We start from the raw sequence: 19,268 nt of genomic DNA on the forward strand, positions 1-19,268 counted from the left end.
CTTTTGCCATGCAAAGTAACATACAAGTTCCAGGGATTAGGATGTGGACATTTTAGGGGCCTTTATTCAGTCTACACAGCAATCCTCTCAAATTCACTTTTTTTTTTCTTTTTTTAATACAGGGTTTTGCTGTGTCACCCAGGCTGAAGTGCAGTGGCGTGGTCTTGGCTCACTGCAACCTCCACCTCCTGGGTTCAAGCGATTCTCCTGCTCAGTCTCTCGAGTAGCTGGGATTACAGCCACCATGCCTGGCTAATTTTTGCATTTTCAGTAGAGATGGGGTTTCATCGTATTGGCCAGGCTGGTCTCAAACTCCTGACCTCAAGTGATCCACTTGCCTCCGTCAAATTTACATTGTTAGGCTGGGCAGGCACGGTGGCTCATGCCTGTAATCCCAACACTTTGGGAGGCCGAGGCGGGTGGATCACTTGAGGTCAGGAGTTCGAGACCAGCCTGGTCAACATGGTGAAACCCCCCTTCTCTGTTTAAAAAAACAAAACAAACAAAACACAAAAAATTAGTCGGGTGTGGTGGCATGTGCCTGTAATCCCAGCTACTCAGTAGGCAGAGGCAGGAGAATCGCTTGAACCTGGGAGACGGAGGTTGCAGTGAGCCAAGATCGTGCCACTGCACTCCAGCCTGGATGACAGAGCGAGACTCGTCTCAAAACAAAACAAAAAAACACAAATTTACATTGTTAATCTCATAGTTCATGCTATGGACTTAATTTTTACTCTATAGTGGGACTTTTTATTTCCTGCCTGTTATCCACTTCGTGTCTCCCAAACACATAGGCATCATTTAAGTCTCTGAAAAACTGAATTTGGGATCATTTTCTGCAGGTTACCATTTGCTACATCCTCCTTGTATTGATCCATTTGTATATAACTAAGTTCTTGGTATAATCTTTAAAAAAAATTTATTGTAATAATACTTAACATGAGATCCACTCTCAACAAATGTTTGTACAATGCATTATTGTTGACCATAGATATAATGTTGCACAGCAGATCTCTAGAGTTTATTCATCTTGTTTGACTTTTGTGTGCATTGATTAGTAACCTTTGATTCTATGTATTTGTCCATTTTATTTTATTTATTTTTTGAGACAGAGTTTTGCTCTTGTCGCCCAGGCTGGAGTGCAGTGGCATAATCTTGGCTCACTGCAACCTCTGCCTCCCGAGTTCAAGTGATTCTCCTGCCTCAGCCTCCAGAGTAGCTGGGATTACGGGCATGTGCCACCACACCCACCTAATTTTTTATTTTTAGTAGAGACAAGGTTTCACCATGTTGGCCAGGCTGGTCTCGAACTCCTGACCGCAAGTGATCCGCCTGCCTCAGCCTCCCAAAGTGCTGGGATTACAGGCATGAGCCACCGTGCCTGGCCGAATTTGACCATTTTAGATACTTCATCTAAGTGAATTCATACAGTATTTGTCTTTTTGTGATTGGCTTATTTCACTTAGCATAATGTTCTCAAGGTCCATCTGTCTTGTAGCATATTGGAGAATTTCCTGTTTTGTTTTGTTTGTTTGTTTTTTGAGACAGGGTCCCATTCTGTCACCCAGGCTGGAGTGCAGTGGCAGTCACAGCTCATTGCAGCCTTGACCTCCTGGGCTCAAGCAATCCTCCCACCTCAGCCTCTTCAGCCTCAGCCTTCCCGGTAGCTGAGACCACAGCCTCGGCTAAGTTTTTAATTTTTTGTAAAGATGGGGTCTCACCATGTTGCCCAGGCTGGTCTTGGACTGCTAGTCTCAAGCGATCCTCCCACCTTGGCCTCCCAGAGTGCTGTGCTGGCATTACAGGTGTGAGTCACCATGCCCAACAAAGAATTTCCTTTTTTAAAGGCTGAATAATATTATATTGTATGTATATATCACATTTCTTTATTCATTGACAGATGAATAAAGCCAAACAACTTAAATGTTGTTTCTACACCTTGGCTATTGTGAATAGTCTGATATGAATATAGGAGTGTTAATATGTCTTCAAGATCCTGACTTCAGTTCTTTTGTATGCATACCCAGAAGTGGGATTATTAGAGCATATGGTAGTTATATAATTTTCTGAGGAACCTCCATTCTGTTTTCCACAGAGGCTTTGCATTCCCACCAACAGCACCCAAGGGTTCCAATTTCTCCACATCCTTCACAGAACTTTTGGTTTTTGATAACAACCATCCTGACAAGTGTGAAGTGATATCTTATTGTATTTTTTTCCTTTCCTAAATTTTTTTTATTTTAAATTTAATGTTAGAGACAAGTTCTCACTATGTTGCCCAGGCTGGTGTCAAACTCCTGAGCTCAAGTGATCCTCCCACCTCGGCCCCACAAAGTGCTGGGATTACAGGCATGAGCCACCGCACCCGGCCCTTACTGTGGTTTTGATTCACTGATGGCTAGACATTGAACATTTTTTCATATACCTGTTGGCTATTTGTATGTCTTCTTTGGAGAAAAGTCTATTCAAGTCTTTAGCCCATTTTTAAATTGGGCTGTTAGTTATTTTACTATTTAGTTGTAGGAGTTCCTTATATATTTTCGAGATTAACCTCTTATTAGAGATACGTTTGCAAATATCTTCTCCCATTCCCTAGGTTACCTTTTTCACTGTTGATTTTTTCCTTGCTTGTGCAGGAACATTTTAGTTTGAGATAATCCCACTTGTTTTTTGTTTTTATTGCCTGTATTTTGGTGTCATATGCATGAAATTGCCACAACCAATGTCATGAAGGTTTTCCCCTATGTTTTCTTGTAGGAACTGTATGCTTTTCAGTCTTACTTTTAAATCTTTAATCCATTTTTAGTTGATTTTTGTGTATGGTGTAAGAAAAGAGTCCGATTTCAATCTTTTGCACATGGATATCCAGCTTTTCCAACACCATGTATTGAAGAGACTACCTTTTCCCTTTTGTGGATTCTTGGCAACCTTGTTGAAGGTAAGTTAACTGCATATGTACGGATTTATTTCTGGACAATGTGATCTCTTAGTTGATGCATAAAACCACATTGCTGATGTGGTTCAGCGATGTTGCTTGCCAGTTTATGAAAGACAGAGTTCAGGAGAGATGGAAGTAAATGAGGTGGAAGAATGTTTTCCAAGTCTTTTTGTACATCGAAAAACAAAAGAGAGAGTTTAAAACTACAGATTCTTGGACTCCACCTTGGAAACTGCTTTGAGAATGGGAGGACCTGATTCCGGGTTTTTAAAGTTTCCCAGGTGACTCTGATACGCTGCTAGTTCTGGAAATCACTGGAAAATTTAGGATATGAAGTTAAGTTTCATTTTAGCCAGATCCTATAATCCATCCCAACAGTAAATGATGAGATTCTCTAGTTAGACCCAAAAGTGCTTCTTGGGGCCAGAGTTTAACATTGTAGTCATTGTCTGAGTTGTGGGAGTAGGTTAGAGTTTGGGAGCTGCGTGAAATCTTTTCATGGACGAGAATATTCGGTATAGCAGCATATGGTACACTAAATAGTAGGGATGTTTGGGGACTTCTAAAACCCCTGATTTACTCCCAGGGCATATCTTAATCACTACTGTGATTTTGGTTGATTATAAAACAGCCCGTTCTCCTGTTTACAATTCTAAATTGAAAATAGGCCAGTCGTCAACTGGCTAAAATCCCATCTGCCTTTAGCTTTCACTAGCTAATTTATAAGTATGCCAGAAACTTCACAATGTACCCATTCTTTCCCAGGGATTCCTACACTAACCCGATGATTTCTCTCTCTTTTTTTTTTTTTTTTTTGAGATGGAGTTTCGCACTTGTTGCCCAGGTTGGAGTGCAATGAATGGTGCCATCTTGGCTCACCGCAACCTCCATCTCCCGGGTTCAAGTGATTCTCCTGCCTCAGCCTCCTGAGTAGCTGGGATTACAGGCATGCGCCACCATGCCTGGCTTATTTTTAGTAGAGATTGGGTTTCTCCATGTTGGTCAGCCTGGTCTCGAACTTGCGACCTCAGGTGATCCACCTGCCTTGGCCTCCCAAAGAGCTGGGATTACAAGAGTGAGCCACCACACCTGGCCTTAACCTGATGATTTCTTCTTCTTTCTTTTTTTGAGATGGAGTCTCTCTCTGTCGCCCAGGCTGGAGTGCAGTGGCGTGATCTTGGCCCACTTCAACCTCCGCCTCCTGGGTTCAAGCGATTCTCCTGCCTCAGCCTCCCGAGTAGCTGGGACTACAGGCACCCACCACCACACCCGGCTAATTTTTGTATTTTTAATAGAGACAGGGTTTCACCATATTGGTCAGGTTGGTCTTGAACTCCTGACCTTGTGATCTGCCCACCTCGACCTCCCAAAGTGCTGGGATTATAGGTGTGAGCCACTGTGCCTGGCCAACCTGATGATTTCTTAAATTGGATCCAAATGTGCTTCTTTAGTCAGAATTGCACATTGCAATTGTTATCACTTGGTCCTTCTCTTATGCATCAAGTGATTTAATATAAAATACGAAATTTCAAATCATTACCCAGCAAAAATTCAGTCTGTTAATCTAGATCCAGTTGAGTGACTAAATCAAGAAATTGTGAACTTAGTGCAGTGCCATTCTATTTCATGAATGTAATATATTTGCGTCTGTCTTGACAGGTAAGTAAATGAAGCACTTCTTTTGTTGTTGCTTTTGAGATGGAGTTTCACTCTTGTTGCCCAGACTGCAGTGCAATGGCATGATCTCGGCTCACTGCAACTTCTGCCTGCTGGGTTCAAGTGATTCTCCTGCCTCAGCCTCCCGAGTAGCTGGGATTACAGGCGTGCACCAACACGCCTGGCTAATTTTTTGTATTTTTAGTAGAGACGGGGTTTATCCATGTTGGTCAGGCTGGTCTCAAACTCCCAACCTCAGGTGATCCACCTGCTTCGGCCTCCCAAAGTGCTGGGATTCCAGGCGTGAACCACCACACCCAGCCTGTAAATGAAGCACTTTAAAGATTGTATTCATCATCTTGGAATCAAATTAGAAAACAAATTTTAGATAACAGCTATGTAAACAGCACAGCCTTCTAGAAGCTAGAACTGAGACTACTGGAGAAGAAATTTGATGTTTGTGACTTTGAAAGGAAAGGAGTACGTTATGAATAAGTGCATCTTTATAAGTTTTTAATTTCACTCTAAGGAAATTTGGAATGTCTTACAATTTACAGTTTTTTTGTTTGTTTGTTTAATTATTTATTTATTTTGAGACAGCGTCTTGCTCTGTTGCCCAGGTTGGAAGGAGTGGCATGGTCTCAGTGCACTGCAACCTCCACCTCAGCCTCCTCAGTAGCTGGGACTACAGGCACACGCCACCACGCCAGGCTAATTTTTTGTATTTTTAGTAAAGATGGGGTTTCACCATATTGGCCGGGCTGATCTGGAACTCCTGAGCTCAAGTGATCCTCCCGCCTCGGCCTCTCGAGTGCTGGGATTGCAGGCATGAGCCACTGCACCTGGCCTTAATTATTAATAATTAGTCTAATCTTATTATACTGTATGAATGTCTCCTAGAGTGAGGCTAGTTAGGTTTGTAGGCTTGTATTTTTGTTAGGTTTTATAAGTAATAGTGGTCTCAGTAAACATATAGCTTTATCCTTTTAGGCATCTGATATAATTGAGTTAAGAGACAATATATTCCCTTGTTCTGAGCCTCCTTTGAGGTGTTAATATTGGATTTAAAATCATATTTAACTCATTTATGTTTTAATCTTTTTTTAAAATTATACTTTAAGTTCTAGGGTACATGTGCACAACATGCAGGTTTGTTACATATGTATACATGTGCCATGTTGGTTTCCTGCACCCATTAATTCATTATTTACATTAGGTATATCTCCTAATGCTATCCCTCCCCCATCCCCCACCCCACAACAGGCCCCGGGGTGTGATGTTCCCTGCCCTGTGTCCAAGTGTTCTCATTGTTCAATTCCCACCTATGAGTGAGAACATGTGGTGTTTGGTTTTCTGTCCTTGCGATAGTTTGCTCGGAATGATGGTTTCCAGCTTCATCCCTGTCCCTACAAAGGACATGAACTCATCCTTTTTTATGGCTGCATAGTATTCCATGGTGTATATGTGCCACATTTTCTTAATCCAGTCTATCACTGATGGACATTTGGGTTGGTTCCAAGTCTTTGCTATTGTGAATAGTGCTGCAATAAACATACATGTGCATGGGTCTTTATAGTAGCATGATTTATAATCCTTTGGGTATATACCCAGTAATGGGATCACTGGGTCAAATGGTATTTCTAGTTCTAGATCGCCACACTGTCTTCCACAATGGTTGAACTAGTTTACACTCTCACCAACAGTGTAAAAGCGTCCCTGTTTCTCCACATCCCCTCCAGCACCTGTTGTTTCCTGCCTTTTTAATGATTGCCATTCTAACTGGTGTGAGATGGTATCTCATTGTGGTTTTGATTTGCATTTCTCTGATGGCCAGTGATGATGAACATTTTTTCATGTGTCTGTTGGCTGCATAAATGTCTTCTTTTGAAAAGTGTCTGTTCATATCCTTTGCCCACTTTCTGATGGGATTGTTTGATTTTTTTTCTTGTAAATTTGTAAGTTCTTTGTTGATTCTGGATATTAGCCCTTTGTCAGATGGGTAGATTACAAAAATTTTCTCCCATTCTGTAGGTTGCCTGTTCACTCTGATGGTAGTTTCTGTGCAGAAGCTCTTTAGTTTAATTAGATCCCATTTGTCAATTTTGGCTTTTGTTGCCATTGCTTTTGGTGTTTTAGTCATGAAGTCCTTGCCCATGCCTATGTCCTGAATGGTATTGCGTAGGTTTTCTTCTAGGGTTTTTATGGTTTTAGGCCTAATATTTAAGTCTTTAATCCACCTTAAATTAATTTTTGTATAAGGTGTAAGGAAGGGATCCAGTTTCAGCATTCTACATATGGCTAGCAAGTTTTCCCAGCACCACTTATTAAATAGGGAATCTTTTTCCCATTTCTTGTTTTCATCAGGTTTGTCAAAGATCAGATGGTTGTAGATGGGTGGTGTTATTTCTGAGGGCTCTGTTCTGTTCCATTGGTTTATATATCTGTTTTGGTACCAGTACCATGCTGTTTTGGTTACTGTAGCCTTGTAGTATAGTTGAAGTCAGGTAGCATGATGCCTCCAGCTTTGTTCTTTTTGCTTAGGATTGTCTTGGCAATGCAGACTCTTTTTTGGTTCCATATGAAATTTAAAGTAGTTTTTTCTGATTCTGTGGAGCAAGTCATTGGTAGCTTGATGGGGATGGCATTGAATCTATAAATTACCTTGGGCAGTATGGCCATTTTCACTGTATTGATTCTTCCTATCCATGAGCATGGAATATTCTTCCATTTGTTTGTGTACTCTTTTATTTCGTTGAGCAGTGGTTTGTAGTTCTCCTTGAAGAGGTCCTTCCCATCCCGTGTAAGTTGGATTCCTAGGTATTTTATTCTCTTTGTAGCAATTGTGAATGGGAGTTCACTCATGATTTGGCTCTTTGTTTGTCTGTTATTGGTGTATAGGAATGCTTGTGATTTTTGCACATTGATTTTGTATCCTGAGACTTTTCTGAAGTTGCTTATCAGCTTAAGGAGATTTTGGGCTGAGATGATGGGATTTTCTAAATATACAATCATGTCATCTGCAAACAGGGACAATTTGACTTCCTCTTTTCCTAATTGAATACCCTTTATTTCTTTCTCCTGCCTGATTGCCCTGGCCAGAACTTCCAACACTATGTTGAATAGGAGTGCTGAGAGAGGGCATCCCTGTCTTGTGCCAGTTTTCAAATGAAATGCTTCCAGTTTTTACCCATTCAGTATGATATTGGCTGTGTGTTTGTCATAAATAACTCTTATTATTTTGAGATACATCCCATCAATACCTAGTTTATTGAGAGTTTTCAGAATGAAGAGCTGTTGAATTTTGTCTAAGGTCTTTTCTGCATGTATTGAGATAATCATGTGGTTTTTGTTCTGTTTATGTGATGGATTACGTTTATTGATTTGCATATGCTGAACCAGCCTTGCATCCCAGGATGAAGCCAACTTGATCTTCGTGGATAAGCTTTTTGGTGTGCTGCTGGATTTGGTTTGCCAGTATTTTATTGAGGATTTTTGCATCGATGTTCATCAGGGATATTGGCCTAAAATTCTCTTTTTTTGTTGTGTCTCTGCCAGGCTTTGGTATCAGGATGATGCTGGCCCCATAAAATGAGTTAGGGAGGATTCCCTCTTTTTCTATTGATTGGAATAGTTTCAGAAGGAATAGTATCAGCTCCTCTTTGTACCTCTGGTAGAATTCGGCTGTGAGTTGTCTGGTCCTGGACTTTTTTCGGTTGGTAGGCTATTAATTATTGCCTCAATTTCTGAGCCTGTTATTGGTCTATTCATGGATTCAACTTCTTCCTGGTTTAGTCTTGGGAGGGTGTATGTGTCCAGGAATTTATCCATTTCTTCTAGATTTTCTAGTTTATTTGCATGGAGGTGTTTATAGTATTCTCTGATGGTAGTTTGTATTTCTGTGGGATTATTGGAGATATCCCCTTTATCATTTTTTATTGTGTCTATTTGATTCTTCTCTCTTTTCTTCTTTATTAGTCTTGCTAGCAGTCTATTTTGTTGATCTTTTCAAAAAACCTGCTCCTGGATTCATTGATTTTTTGAAGGTTTTTTTGTGTCACTATCTCCTTCAGTTCTGCTCTAATCTTAGTTATTTCTGGCCTTCTGCTAGCTTTTGAATTTGTTTGATCTTGCTTCTCTAGTTCTTTTAATTATGATGTTAGGGTGTCAATTTTAGATCTTTCCTTCTTTCTCTTGTGGGCATTTAGTGCTATAAATTTCCCTCTACACAATGCTTTAAATGTGTCCCAGAGATTCTTGTATGTTGTGTCTTTGTTCTCATTGGTTTCAAAGAACATCTTTATTTCTGCCTTCATTTTGTTATTTACCCAGTAGTGATTCAGGAGCAGGTTGTTCAGTTTCCATATAGTTGTGTGGTTTTGAGTGATTCCTTAATCCTGAGTTCTAATTTGATTAAACTGTGGTCTGAGAGACAGTTTGTTGTGATTTCTGTTCTTTCACATTTGCTGAGGAGTGTTTTACTTCCAACTATGTGGTCAGTTTTGGAATAAGTGTGATGTGGTGCTGAGAAGAATGTATATTCTGTTGATTTGGGGTGGAGAGTTCTGTAGATGTCTATTAGGTCTCCTTGGTGTAGAGCTGAGTTTAAGTCCTGGATATCCTTGTTAACATTCTGTCTCGTTGATCTGTCTAATATTGACAGTGGGGTGTTAAAGTCTCCCATTATTATTGTGTGGGAGTCTAAGTCTCTTTGTAGGTCTCTAAGGACTTGCTTTATGAGTCTGGGTGCTCCTATGTTGGGTGCATGTATATTTAGGATAGTTAGCTCTTCTTGTTGCATTGATCCCTTTACTGTTATGTAATTTCCTTCTTCGTCTTTTTTGATCTTTGTTGGTTTAAAGTCTGTTTTATCAGAGACTAGGATTGCAACCCCTGCTTTTTTTTGTTTCCCATTTGCTTGGTAGATCTTCCTCCGTCCCTTTGAGTCTATGTGTGTCTCTGCACGTGAGATGGGTCTCCTGAATACAGCACACTGATGGGTCTTAACTGTTTATCCAATTTGCCAGTCTGTGTCTTTTAATTGGGGCATTTAGCCCATTTACATTTAAGTTTAATATTATTATGAGTGAATTTGACCTTTTTTTTTTTTTGAGATGGTTTCTCGCTCTGTTGCCATGCTGGAGTGCAGTGGCATAATCTCGGCTCACCGCAACCTCTGCTTCCCAGGTTCAAGTGATTCTCCTGCGTCAGCCTCCTGAGTAGCTGGGACTACAGGCACATGCCACCATGTCTGGCTAATTTTTGCATTTTTAATAGAGATGGGGCTGGGCGCAGTGGCTCACGCCTGTAATCCCAGCACTTTGGGAGGCCGAGGCGGGCGGATCATGAAGTCAGGAGATTGAGAACATCCTGGTTGACATGGTGAAACCCCGTCTCTACCGAAAATACAAAAAAAATTAGCCAGGCATGGTGGCGCATGCCTGTAGTTCCAGCTACTTGGGAGGCTGAGGCAGGAGAATGGCCTGAACCCGGGAGGCGGAGGTTGCAGTGAGCCGAGATCGCGCCACTGCACTCCAGCCTGGGAGACAGAGTGTGACTCCGTCTCAAAAAAAAAAAAAAAATAGAGATGGGGTTTTGCAATGTTGGCCACACTGGTCTCGAACTCCTGGCCTCAAGTGATCCACCCGCCTTGGCCTCCCAAAGTGCTGAGATTACAGGCGTGAGCCACTGTGCCTGGCCGGAAATTTAAAATTTTGATGAAGTCCAATTCCGGATATTTTTTTGGAGGTGGGTGGGTGGTGGCACAGGGTCTCACTGTGTTGCCCAGGCTGGAGTGCAGTGGTGCAGTCTTGGCTCCCTGCAACTTCCACCTCCTGGGCTCAAGTGATTCTCCCACCTCAGCCTCCTGAGTAGCTGGGACCATAGGCACCAGCCACCATGCCCAGCTAATTTTTGTATTTTTTGTAGAACAAAAGTCTGGAACTCCTGGCCTCAAGTGATCCTTCCTCCTCAGCCTTCCAAAGTGCTGAGATTACAGGTGTGAGTGACTGTGCCTGGCCTCCAGATATCTTTTGAAATAAACTCCTTTATTGGGCTGGGTTCGGTGGTTCATGCCTGTAATCCCAGCACTTTGGGAGGCCAAGGCGGGAGGGATTGCTTGAGCCCAGGAGTTCAAGACCAGCCTGGGCAACATGGTGAAACCCTGTCTCTATAAAAAATACAAAAATTAGCTGGGTGTGGTAGCATATGCCTGTAGTCCCAGCTACTTGGGAGGCTGAGGATCGCTTGAGCCCAGGATGATTGATACTGCAATGAGCTATGATAACACCACTGCACTCCAGCCTAGGTGACAGAGTGAGACTGTCTCAAAAAAACAAAAAATAACAAAAACCAAAAACCCACAAAAAACAAAAACAACAAAAAACTCCTTTATTGCTAAATAAGCCAAGTTAAGTTCTGTTGCTTACAGGTAATAATGTGGCTTACATAAACCTTCAAAAACTCACCTTGGCTGGGCGTGGTGACCCACACCTGTAATCCCAGCACTTTGGGAGGTCGAGGTGGGTGGATCACTTGAGGCCAGGAGTTCAAGACCAGCCTGGCCAACATGGTGAAACCCTACTTGACTAAAAATAGAAAAATTAGCTGGGTGTGGTGGTGTGCACCTGTAGTCCCAGCTACTCGGGAGGCTGAGGTGGGAGAATTTTTCTTGAACCCAGGAGGCAGAGGCTGCAGTGAGCCGAGATCATGCCACTGCACTCCAGCCTGGGCAACAGGGTGTGACTCTGTCTCAAACAAACAAACAAACAAAAACAAACAAACAAACAACAAACTCACCTTGATACTTATACATTTATCTTACACATAAATGATTCATTTATTCCATTGATTTAATTACTTGGTATTTTTACATACAAAAATTTGAATGCTCAAAACATGTTTAGAACCCATTTCTTTTGCAGTCGTCTTCACCAAAACTTTATGAACCTCATCAAAACTGAGGCTCATCATTTTACAGTTTTGCCTAATTTTCTGCCTCAAACACCATCTCAGAACTTAAATATCTGACAGACCTGGTTCTGCAAACTTTGCACTATTACACAAATAAAATTCATTCTCAAGGGATGATAGATTACCAGCAAATGTTATTTAAATTGATATGTTACAAGTTCTGATGAGTAACATTTAGCTAGTTTTTCTATGTATCCACTAGTACATTTTTATATAATGTGTTCTTAGTTATATACTATCCCCATTGTTAGCAATTTCACTTCATTTGATTCTCCATCTGAATTTACACTTTCCATACAGTACTACTCTGGGGCTCTGAAGAGTTAAGAGAAAGAAATCCTCTTTAGCCATATGGGGAGGGAAAGGGCCACAGTCCTTCCAGCCAAGAAGGAATGGTGGTGAGGAATCAATAACAGGCAAGGGCGGGAAAACGGGACAGCTCCTCTGGCACTCCAGAATGAAAGAAATGAAAATGCATCTGTTACATTTATATTCAAATATATAAACACCTGCTCCTGATAACACAAATGATTTGGAGATAGTTGTGATTTGAATAGACTGTAGCTCTGTCTCCTGCTTCTCCTCCTCCTGAAAGCCCTAGAATCTCTCAAAGAGGGTGACCTTTCCTTTTCTCTTTTACTGAAATGAATTGTAATGACACTGATAGAGCTGATTTCCCTGGTGATTAGGTAGGTGTTAAATGTGTCCATAAAAGATAACAAGGTGGTATACAATCCAAAGGGGATGGAATTAACACTTGGTATTGAAAACGAAGATGAAAATGCCATAGATACTACACCAAGGGGAATGGCAGATCTTCACCCAACATCTGGGATCTTGATACCTTTCATTATAACTTACAGGTTTTAAAAATTCACATGCCAGAGCCCCTAAGGAAATCATAGTGTTATAAAAAGAACTGAATATACAACTGGCAGATAATAAAATTAGACATATTTAACTCCTTAGGCATAGAGAGCCCAAGTTTTTTTCTTTTTTTAAAATAATAGGCTCATAGCTATTTACACACATTTAAAATACTCTAGAACCACTTGATCATAAATTATTCGCTATCATACAAATTCATCACATAACTTAAGGGTAATTGTTGGAGCAAATGCTTCTAAAACAAGTTTTGAGGATATGACAGACTAGTAAGTTTATTTTAATAAAAGTTATTTTAATAAGAAATAACTCAGATTAAAAATAAACGGGAGGGGAGAAAAAAATAAACTGAGAAAGTATGCTTACACAAATTTTTTAAAAAAGCGATTGCTTGGCTGGGTGCAGTGGCTCACACCTGTAATCCCAGCACATTGGGAGGCCAAGGTGGGTGGATTGCTTGAGGCCAGGAGTTCGAGACCAGCCTGGCCAACATGGTGAAACCCCATCTCTACTAAAATTACAAAACTTAGCCAGGCATGGTGGTGCAGGCCTGTAATCCCTGCTACTCAGGAGGCTGAGGCAGGAGAGTCACTTGAACCTGGGAGGCGGAGGTTGCAGTAAGCCGAGATTGCAGCCTGGGTGACAGAGTGAGGCTCTGTCTCAAAAAAAAAAAAAAAAAAAAAAAGTTATTGCTATATTTCTGAGTTTTTTCTTAGTCAAATATAAATTCCTATCTCTGTTTTTAATTTACTACTTCCAATCCCCTATGTATGTGGGCTGAATGATAAAGAAGTCTCTACCTCTTGTAGACCCTGGAATTGGGAAAAACAGATCTTTCTGATTTGTTCTTTGTGCTTCCTAACTTCATTACGTTTTATGGACTCCTGAAGCAGTGATTGTTTCTACCAAAAATCCACTAACTCTTGATTATGGAACTCAAGTCCATCTAAAAGTCAAAACAAAAACCATTTCTGCAAATATTGTTGACAGCTATTGCTATAGAATAAGACTGAGAAGAATATTCTTAAATTCCTTTATACTGTACTTCTGGATGATAAAAGTGGAATAATTCCTGTTAATTTTATCAGCAATTAATGGAGATTGACTTAGTTTAGATACACTATATAATTGATAACATGTAATACATATCTGTTATATGTATAAAACATATTATATGAAGGCCAGGCATGGTGGCTCACGCCTGTAATCCCAGCATTTTGGGAGGACAAGGCAGGCAGATCATGAGGTCAAGAGATCGAGACCATCCTGGCCAACATGGTGAAACCCCATCTCTACTAAAAATACAAAAATTAGCTGGGCGTGGTGGCGCACACTGGCTGTAGTTCCAGCTAATCTGGAGGCTGAGGCAGGAGAATCGCTTGAAGCCAGGAGGTGGAGGTTGCAGTGAGCTGCGACTGTGCCACTGCATTCCAGCCTGGGTGACAGAGTGAGACTCCGTCTCAAAAAAAGCCACAAAAAACCCCCAAACCAAACATATTATATGAATATTTGTGTTCAATAAAACAATAACACAATAAAAATGATGTTTTATTATTAAAATGATCTTACAATGTCAACATCAATGTTAATAAAAATATATAATAGGCTGAATTCATCAATGATAGAATAAGTTGTAATTCACTTGGAGGTTCCATCTTTCAAAGTAAGCCTTTCATAGATAAATGAAAATCCTTTATTTTGTAGAATTTTAAAGATTGTTAAAGGCTGGGTCAAGGCAAAGCCACCTCTATTAGAAGGGGAAAGAAAAGCAAGATGAAACAAAATATGTTATCATACATATCGCGTGTGCTATGAGCATCTTTCTACTCCTGCCAGATTGAAAATTCTAGGTTTCAACATTCTTCAGGATTTAACAAGTCAAAATAAAAGCAGAATTCAAATCTAGACAGATGTAAAAGACTTCAGTTTCAAATTGAAGTTGATATTTTTCCTCTTCATAGTATTTGGACTTTAAAATAAAAAAAAATTAAATCTTACTCTCTACTAAGGTATTTATGTATTGAGATTATGGGTTCTTTTCATATTGAATTTTAAGAGATGCTGCTTTGCTGTCTGCATTTTTAGGCTTTTAGGAGCAACAACATTTATGTACAATGAATCAGTACAGGGTTGGTGACATGACCCTTTAAAAGCAAAGATACATAAAAAAGATTTTTTTCAAAAAATATTTTAACACATAGGGGCTTGCTTTGTATATACATGCTATAGTTAAAGACAAAATGTGGATTAATTATTATATTTGGGAAATAGATATTTATTTGCACTAATTAGCTGTGTGTGTGTATGAGAGAGAGAGAAAAAAAAAGAGAGAGAGAGGTTATTTTTCAGCTTAAATAAGACTGTAACTTCCTGAGAACTCTCTCTAATTGGGTAAAATACTGATTGAGATATTCAGTCTCCTTACCAGGAATTGTAAGAAAGTCTACTTTGTACATTCATGAGAAGCTGAAATAGATTATTGTGTAATAACCGAATGGAACATCTGTTTAACCAGATGTTTTAGTTGAGAGAAGTGTAAACATGATTCTAAATGTATAAATATGTTGGTTATTCTTCCTTGTCTGGGAGGTTGTGCCAAAGTTTACATAGATTAGAGGAAAGGCTGGGTCTGGAAAAATTCAAAAATATTACATAAATGCAGAGAAAGTAATACAATAAGGTCAGTTGGCAATGATTTTAACAATTATTTACAGGGCCTTCCTTTGCTTCACCTCATGGCTCACATACAAGTGACCTGAGTCACTCCATCTTCCTGATCAAACTGTCCGTCGTCTAATTCCCGGAGGACGTTGTCACTGCTGCTGAACCCAGAGAAGCTGTTGTGCTGTGCCAGCCTTCCCTCCTTTGTCCAGCATTCCCGGGAGGGAGAAAGGCGGCACTCCTCAGGCAGGTGTCTGCTCTCTGCAGGTTGTGACGAGGTTGTGTCTAATCCGATGCTTCTACTAGTGGCTTTATTCTTGTCTTCACCTTTTATGTGGCGGCTGGCTTTCTTCTGAAACACAAGACATTGGTGACCAGGAGAGTTAAAAAGATGGGTGTTTCCTGTCCCTCTGGTCTAGCACATGCTGCCTTTCTGCCTCCAGGAATGTCCTTTTCCCCAGCTCTTCAAAATCCTGCTCATCTTCAACGACCAGCTCAGAGCTACCTCCACATTCCCCTCTCCACCCAAATACAAATGAACTCCCTTCTCCCTGTTTTGTAACTCTTTGTAGGTTCCTGGCACATCATTCTTGTTGATGGGTATGTTATGTACACATCTCGGCCCTCAGTGACATCTCTAAGGAAGGAAATTTGTTGAAATCATACTTTGGGAGAACAAAGCAAGGTATAAATACTAATATGTTTTTCTTCTTAGTGTTAGTTCAGATCTATACAGCAGAAAAGGTGCTTTGATGGCCACCTTACACCCATGTCATGTAGACACAGGCTGCACAGAAGAGTCACAGTGATATGGTTTGGCTGTGTCCCCACCCAAATCTCATCTTGAATTGTAACTCCCATATTTCCCATGTGTTGTGGGAGGGGCCCAGTGGGAGGTAGTCAAATCATGGGGGTGGGTCTTATCCCATGAATAAGTATCATGAGATCTGATGGTTTTATAAAGGGGAGTTCCCTTGCACATGCTCTCTCTTGCCTGCCACCATGTGAGACATGACTTTGCTCCTCATTTGCCTTCTGCCATGACTGTGAGGCCTCCCTACGTGGAACTGTGAGTCAATTAAACCTCTTTCCTTTGTAAACTACACAGTCTCGGGTATGTCTTTATTAGCAGGATGAGAACAGACTAATACAGTAAATTGGTACTAGTAGAGTGGCGGGGGTGGGGGGTGCTATAAAAATACCCAAAAATGTAGAAGCGACTTTGGAACTGGGTAGCATGCAGAGGTTGGAACAGTTTGAAGGGCTCAGAAGAGGACAGGAAAATGTGGGAAACTTTGGAACTTCCTAGAGACTTATTGAATGGCTTTGATCGAAATGCTTATAGTGATATGGACAGTGAAGTCCAGGTTGAGATGATTTCAGATGGAGATGAGGAACTTGTTGGGAACTGGAGCAAAGGTGTCTCTTGCTATGTTTTAGCAAAGAGACTGGTGGCATTTTGCCCTTGCCCTCAAGATATGTGGAACTTTGAACTTGAGAGAGATGATTTAGGGCATCTGGCAGAAAAAATTTCTAAGCAGCAAAGCATTAAATAGGTGATTTGGGTACTGTTAAAAACATTCAGTTTTAGGTATTCACAAAGATATGGTTTGGAATTGGAACTTATGTTTACATTTGCAGACTGATGATACCATAGAAAAGAAAAACCAATTTTCTGAGAAGAAATTTAAGCTGGCTGCAGAAATTTGCATAAGTAACAAGGAGCCAAATGTTAATTGCCAAGGCAATGGAGAAAATGTCTCCAGGGCATTTCATGGCAGCCCCTCCCATCACAAGCCTGGAGGCCTAGGAGGAAAAAATGTTTTTGTGGGCCGGACCTAGGGCCTTGCTGCTTTGTGCAATTTTGGGACTTGCTGCCCTGCATCCCAGCCATGGCTATATGGGGCCAACGTAGAGCTCAGGCTATTTCTTCAGAGGGTGCAAGCCCCAAGCCTTGGTGGCTCACATGTTGTTTTGGGCCTGTGGGTACACAGAAGTCAGGAAATGGGGTTTGGGAACCTCTGCCTAGATTTCAGAGGATGTAAGGAAACACCTGGATGTCCAGGTAGAGGTGTGCTGCAGGGATGGAGCCCTAATGGAGAACCTTGCTAGGGCAGTGTGGAAGGGAATTGTGGGGTGGAAACTCCCACATGGAGTCCCTACTGGGACACTGCCTAGTGGAGCTGTGAGAAGAGGGCCACCGTCTTGCAGACCCCAGAATGGTAGATCCACTGACAGCTTGCACTGTGCACCTGGAAAAGCTGCAGACACTCAATGCCAGCCTATGAAAGCAGCCAGGAGGGGGGCTGTACCCTGCAAAGCCACAGGGGCAAAGCTACCCAAGGCCATGGGAACCCATCTCTTGCATCAGTGTGACCTGGATGTTAGGGAGTCAAAAGAGATAATTTTAGAGCTTTAAGATTTGATTGCCCCACTTGATTTTGGACTTGTATGGGGCCTGTAACCCCATCATTTTGGCCAGTTTCTCCCACTTGGAATAGATGTATTTACCCAATGCCTGTACCCCCATTGTATCTAGGAAGTAACTAACCTGCTTTTGATTTTACAGGGTCATAGGCAGAAGGGACTTGCCTTGTCTCAGATGAGACTTTGGACTGTGGACTTTTGAGTTAATGCTGAAATTAGTTAAGACTTTTGGCCGGGTGCAGTGGCTTACACCTGTAATCCCAGCACTTTGGGAGGCTGAGACAGGAGGAACACTTGAGGTCAGGAGTTTGAGACCAGCCTGACCAACATGGTGAAACCTCATCTCTACTAAAAATACAAAAATTATCAGAGTGTGGTGGCACACGCCTGTAATCCCAGCTACTTGGGAGGCTGAAGCAGGAGGATCACTTGAATCTGGGAGGTGGAGGTTGCAGTGAGCCAAGATCACACCAATGCACTCTAGCCTGGGCAACAAGAGAAAGACTCCATCTCAAAAACAAACAAACAAACAAACAAACAAACAAAAAACAACTTTGGGGAACTGTTAGGTAGGCATGATTGGTTTTGAAATGTGAGGACATGAGATTTGGGAGGAGCTGGGGTGGAATGATATAGTTTGGCTGTGTCCTCACCCAAATCTCATCTTGAATTGTAGCTCCCATAATTCCCAAGTGTTGTGGGAGTGACCCAGTGGGAGGTAATTGAATCATGGGGGTGGGTCTTTCCCATGCTGTTCTTGTAATAGTGAATAAGTCTCATTAGATCTGATGGTTTTATAAAGGGGTGTTCCCCTGCATGTGCTGTCTTGCCTGCCGCCATGTAAGACATGACTTTGCTCCTCATTCACCTTCCGCCATGGTTGTGAGGCCTCCCTAACCATGTGGAACTGTGAGTCAATTAAACATCTTTCCTTTAAAAATTACCCAGTCTTGGGTATGTCTTTATTAGCAACGTGAGAACAGACTAGTTTACATGGATAATTCAGACTGAGTTTATTTTGAGCGAGTGTCTAGAATGTCTTCAAGGGTGAAGTGGACCCTTTCCTTGTCCTGCTGCAAACTGCTTCTGCCTTACACAGTATAAATGCTCAACAATTCAATCCAGCTCATTCAGACTCTCTGATCAACTGTGGATGTTTTTGCTAATAAATATTTACTGAGGGCAGAGAATGCTCTTGGTTCAGTCCAGAATAAAGGGGACATGGTCTCTGCCCAGGCAACTTAAGTCAAAATAAGGTATCTAGCTGGGCAAAGTGGCATGAGCCTGTAGTCCCAGCTACTCAGGAGGCTGAAATGGGAGGATTACTTGGGCCTGGGAGTTCAAGGCCAGCTTAGGCAACATGGCGAGACCTCAGGTCATATATGTATATAAAATATATTTTTTATATATATAATATATATTCTATATATAATATATTATATATATTTTATATACATAATATATATTCTATATATAATATATTATATATATTTTATATACATAATATATTTATATATTATATATTATATATAATATATATAATATATATATGAAAAAATAAGATAGCTAAGTCAAAAAAGGGAAAGCACAACAAGGAGAATTAGCTGCTTAACTTGTGATGTTCAGACTCCTGATGAGATTTCATTATAGGAGCCTTTTTTTGTTGTTGTTGAGACAGAGTCTTGTTCTGTTGTCTAGGCTGGAGTGCGGTGGTGCAATCCCAGCACACTGT

The 19,268-nt window shown here is 41.0% G+C and overlaps 1 protein-coding gene and 1 long non-coding RNA gene across 7 annotated transcripts in view; one reads left to right on the forward strand and one right to left on the reverse strand.

Annotated features, from left to right (window-relative positions):
* The first annotated feature begins 1,832 nt into the window (after positions 1-1,832).
* Positions 1,833-16,212, forward strand: LOC124907952 (uncharacterized). The gene is made up of 2 exons (XR_007087918.1): positions 1,833-2,938; positions 15,163-16,212. It is a non-coding gene; the product is annotated as an uncharacterized LOC124907952 (long non-coding RNA).
* The window catches only part of RFTN2 (raftlin family member 2), a 107,364-nt gene continuing 99,500 nt past the window's right edge, over positions 11,405-19,268 (reverse strand). For 4 of the 6 annotated variants that reach the window (XM_017003332.3, XM_011510598.4, NM_144629.3 and 1 more), the window contains one exon: positions 11,405-15,461. In XM_017003332.3, the coding sequence (XP_016858821.1) occupies positions 15,189-15,461 (273 nt within the window). In that variant the 3' untranslated portion in view covers positions 11,405-15,188. The remainder of the gene's footprint in view (positions 15,462-19,268) is intronic. The other 2 variants (XM_011510597.4, XM_011510596.4) reach the window with 1 other exon arrangement.

The sequence above is a fragment of the Homo sapiens genome, chromosome 2 (assembly GCF_000001405.40).
Source record: "Homo sapiens chromosome 2, GRCh38.p14 Primary Assembly".
Taxonomy (NCBI): Eukaryota; Metazoa; Chordata; class Mammalia; order Primates; family Hominidae; genus Homo; species Homo sapiens.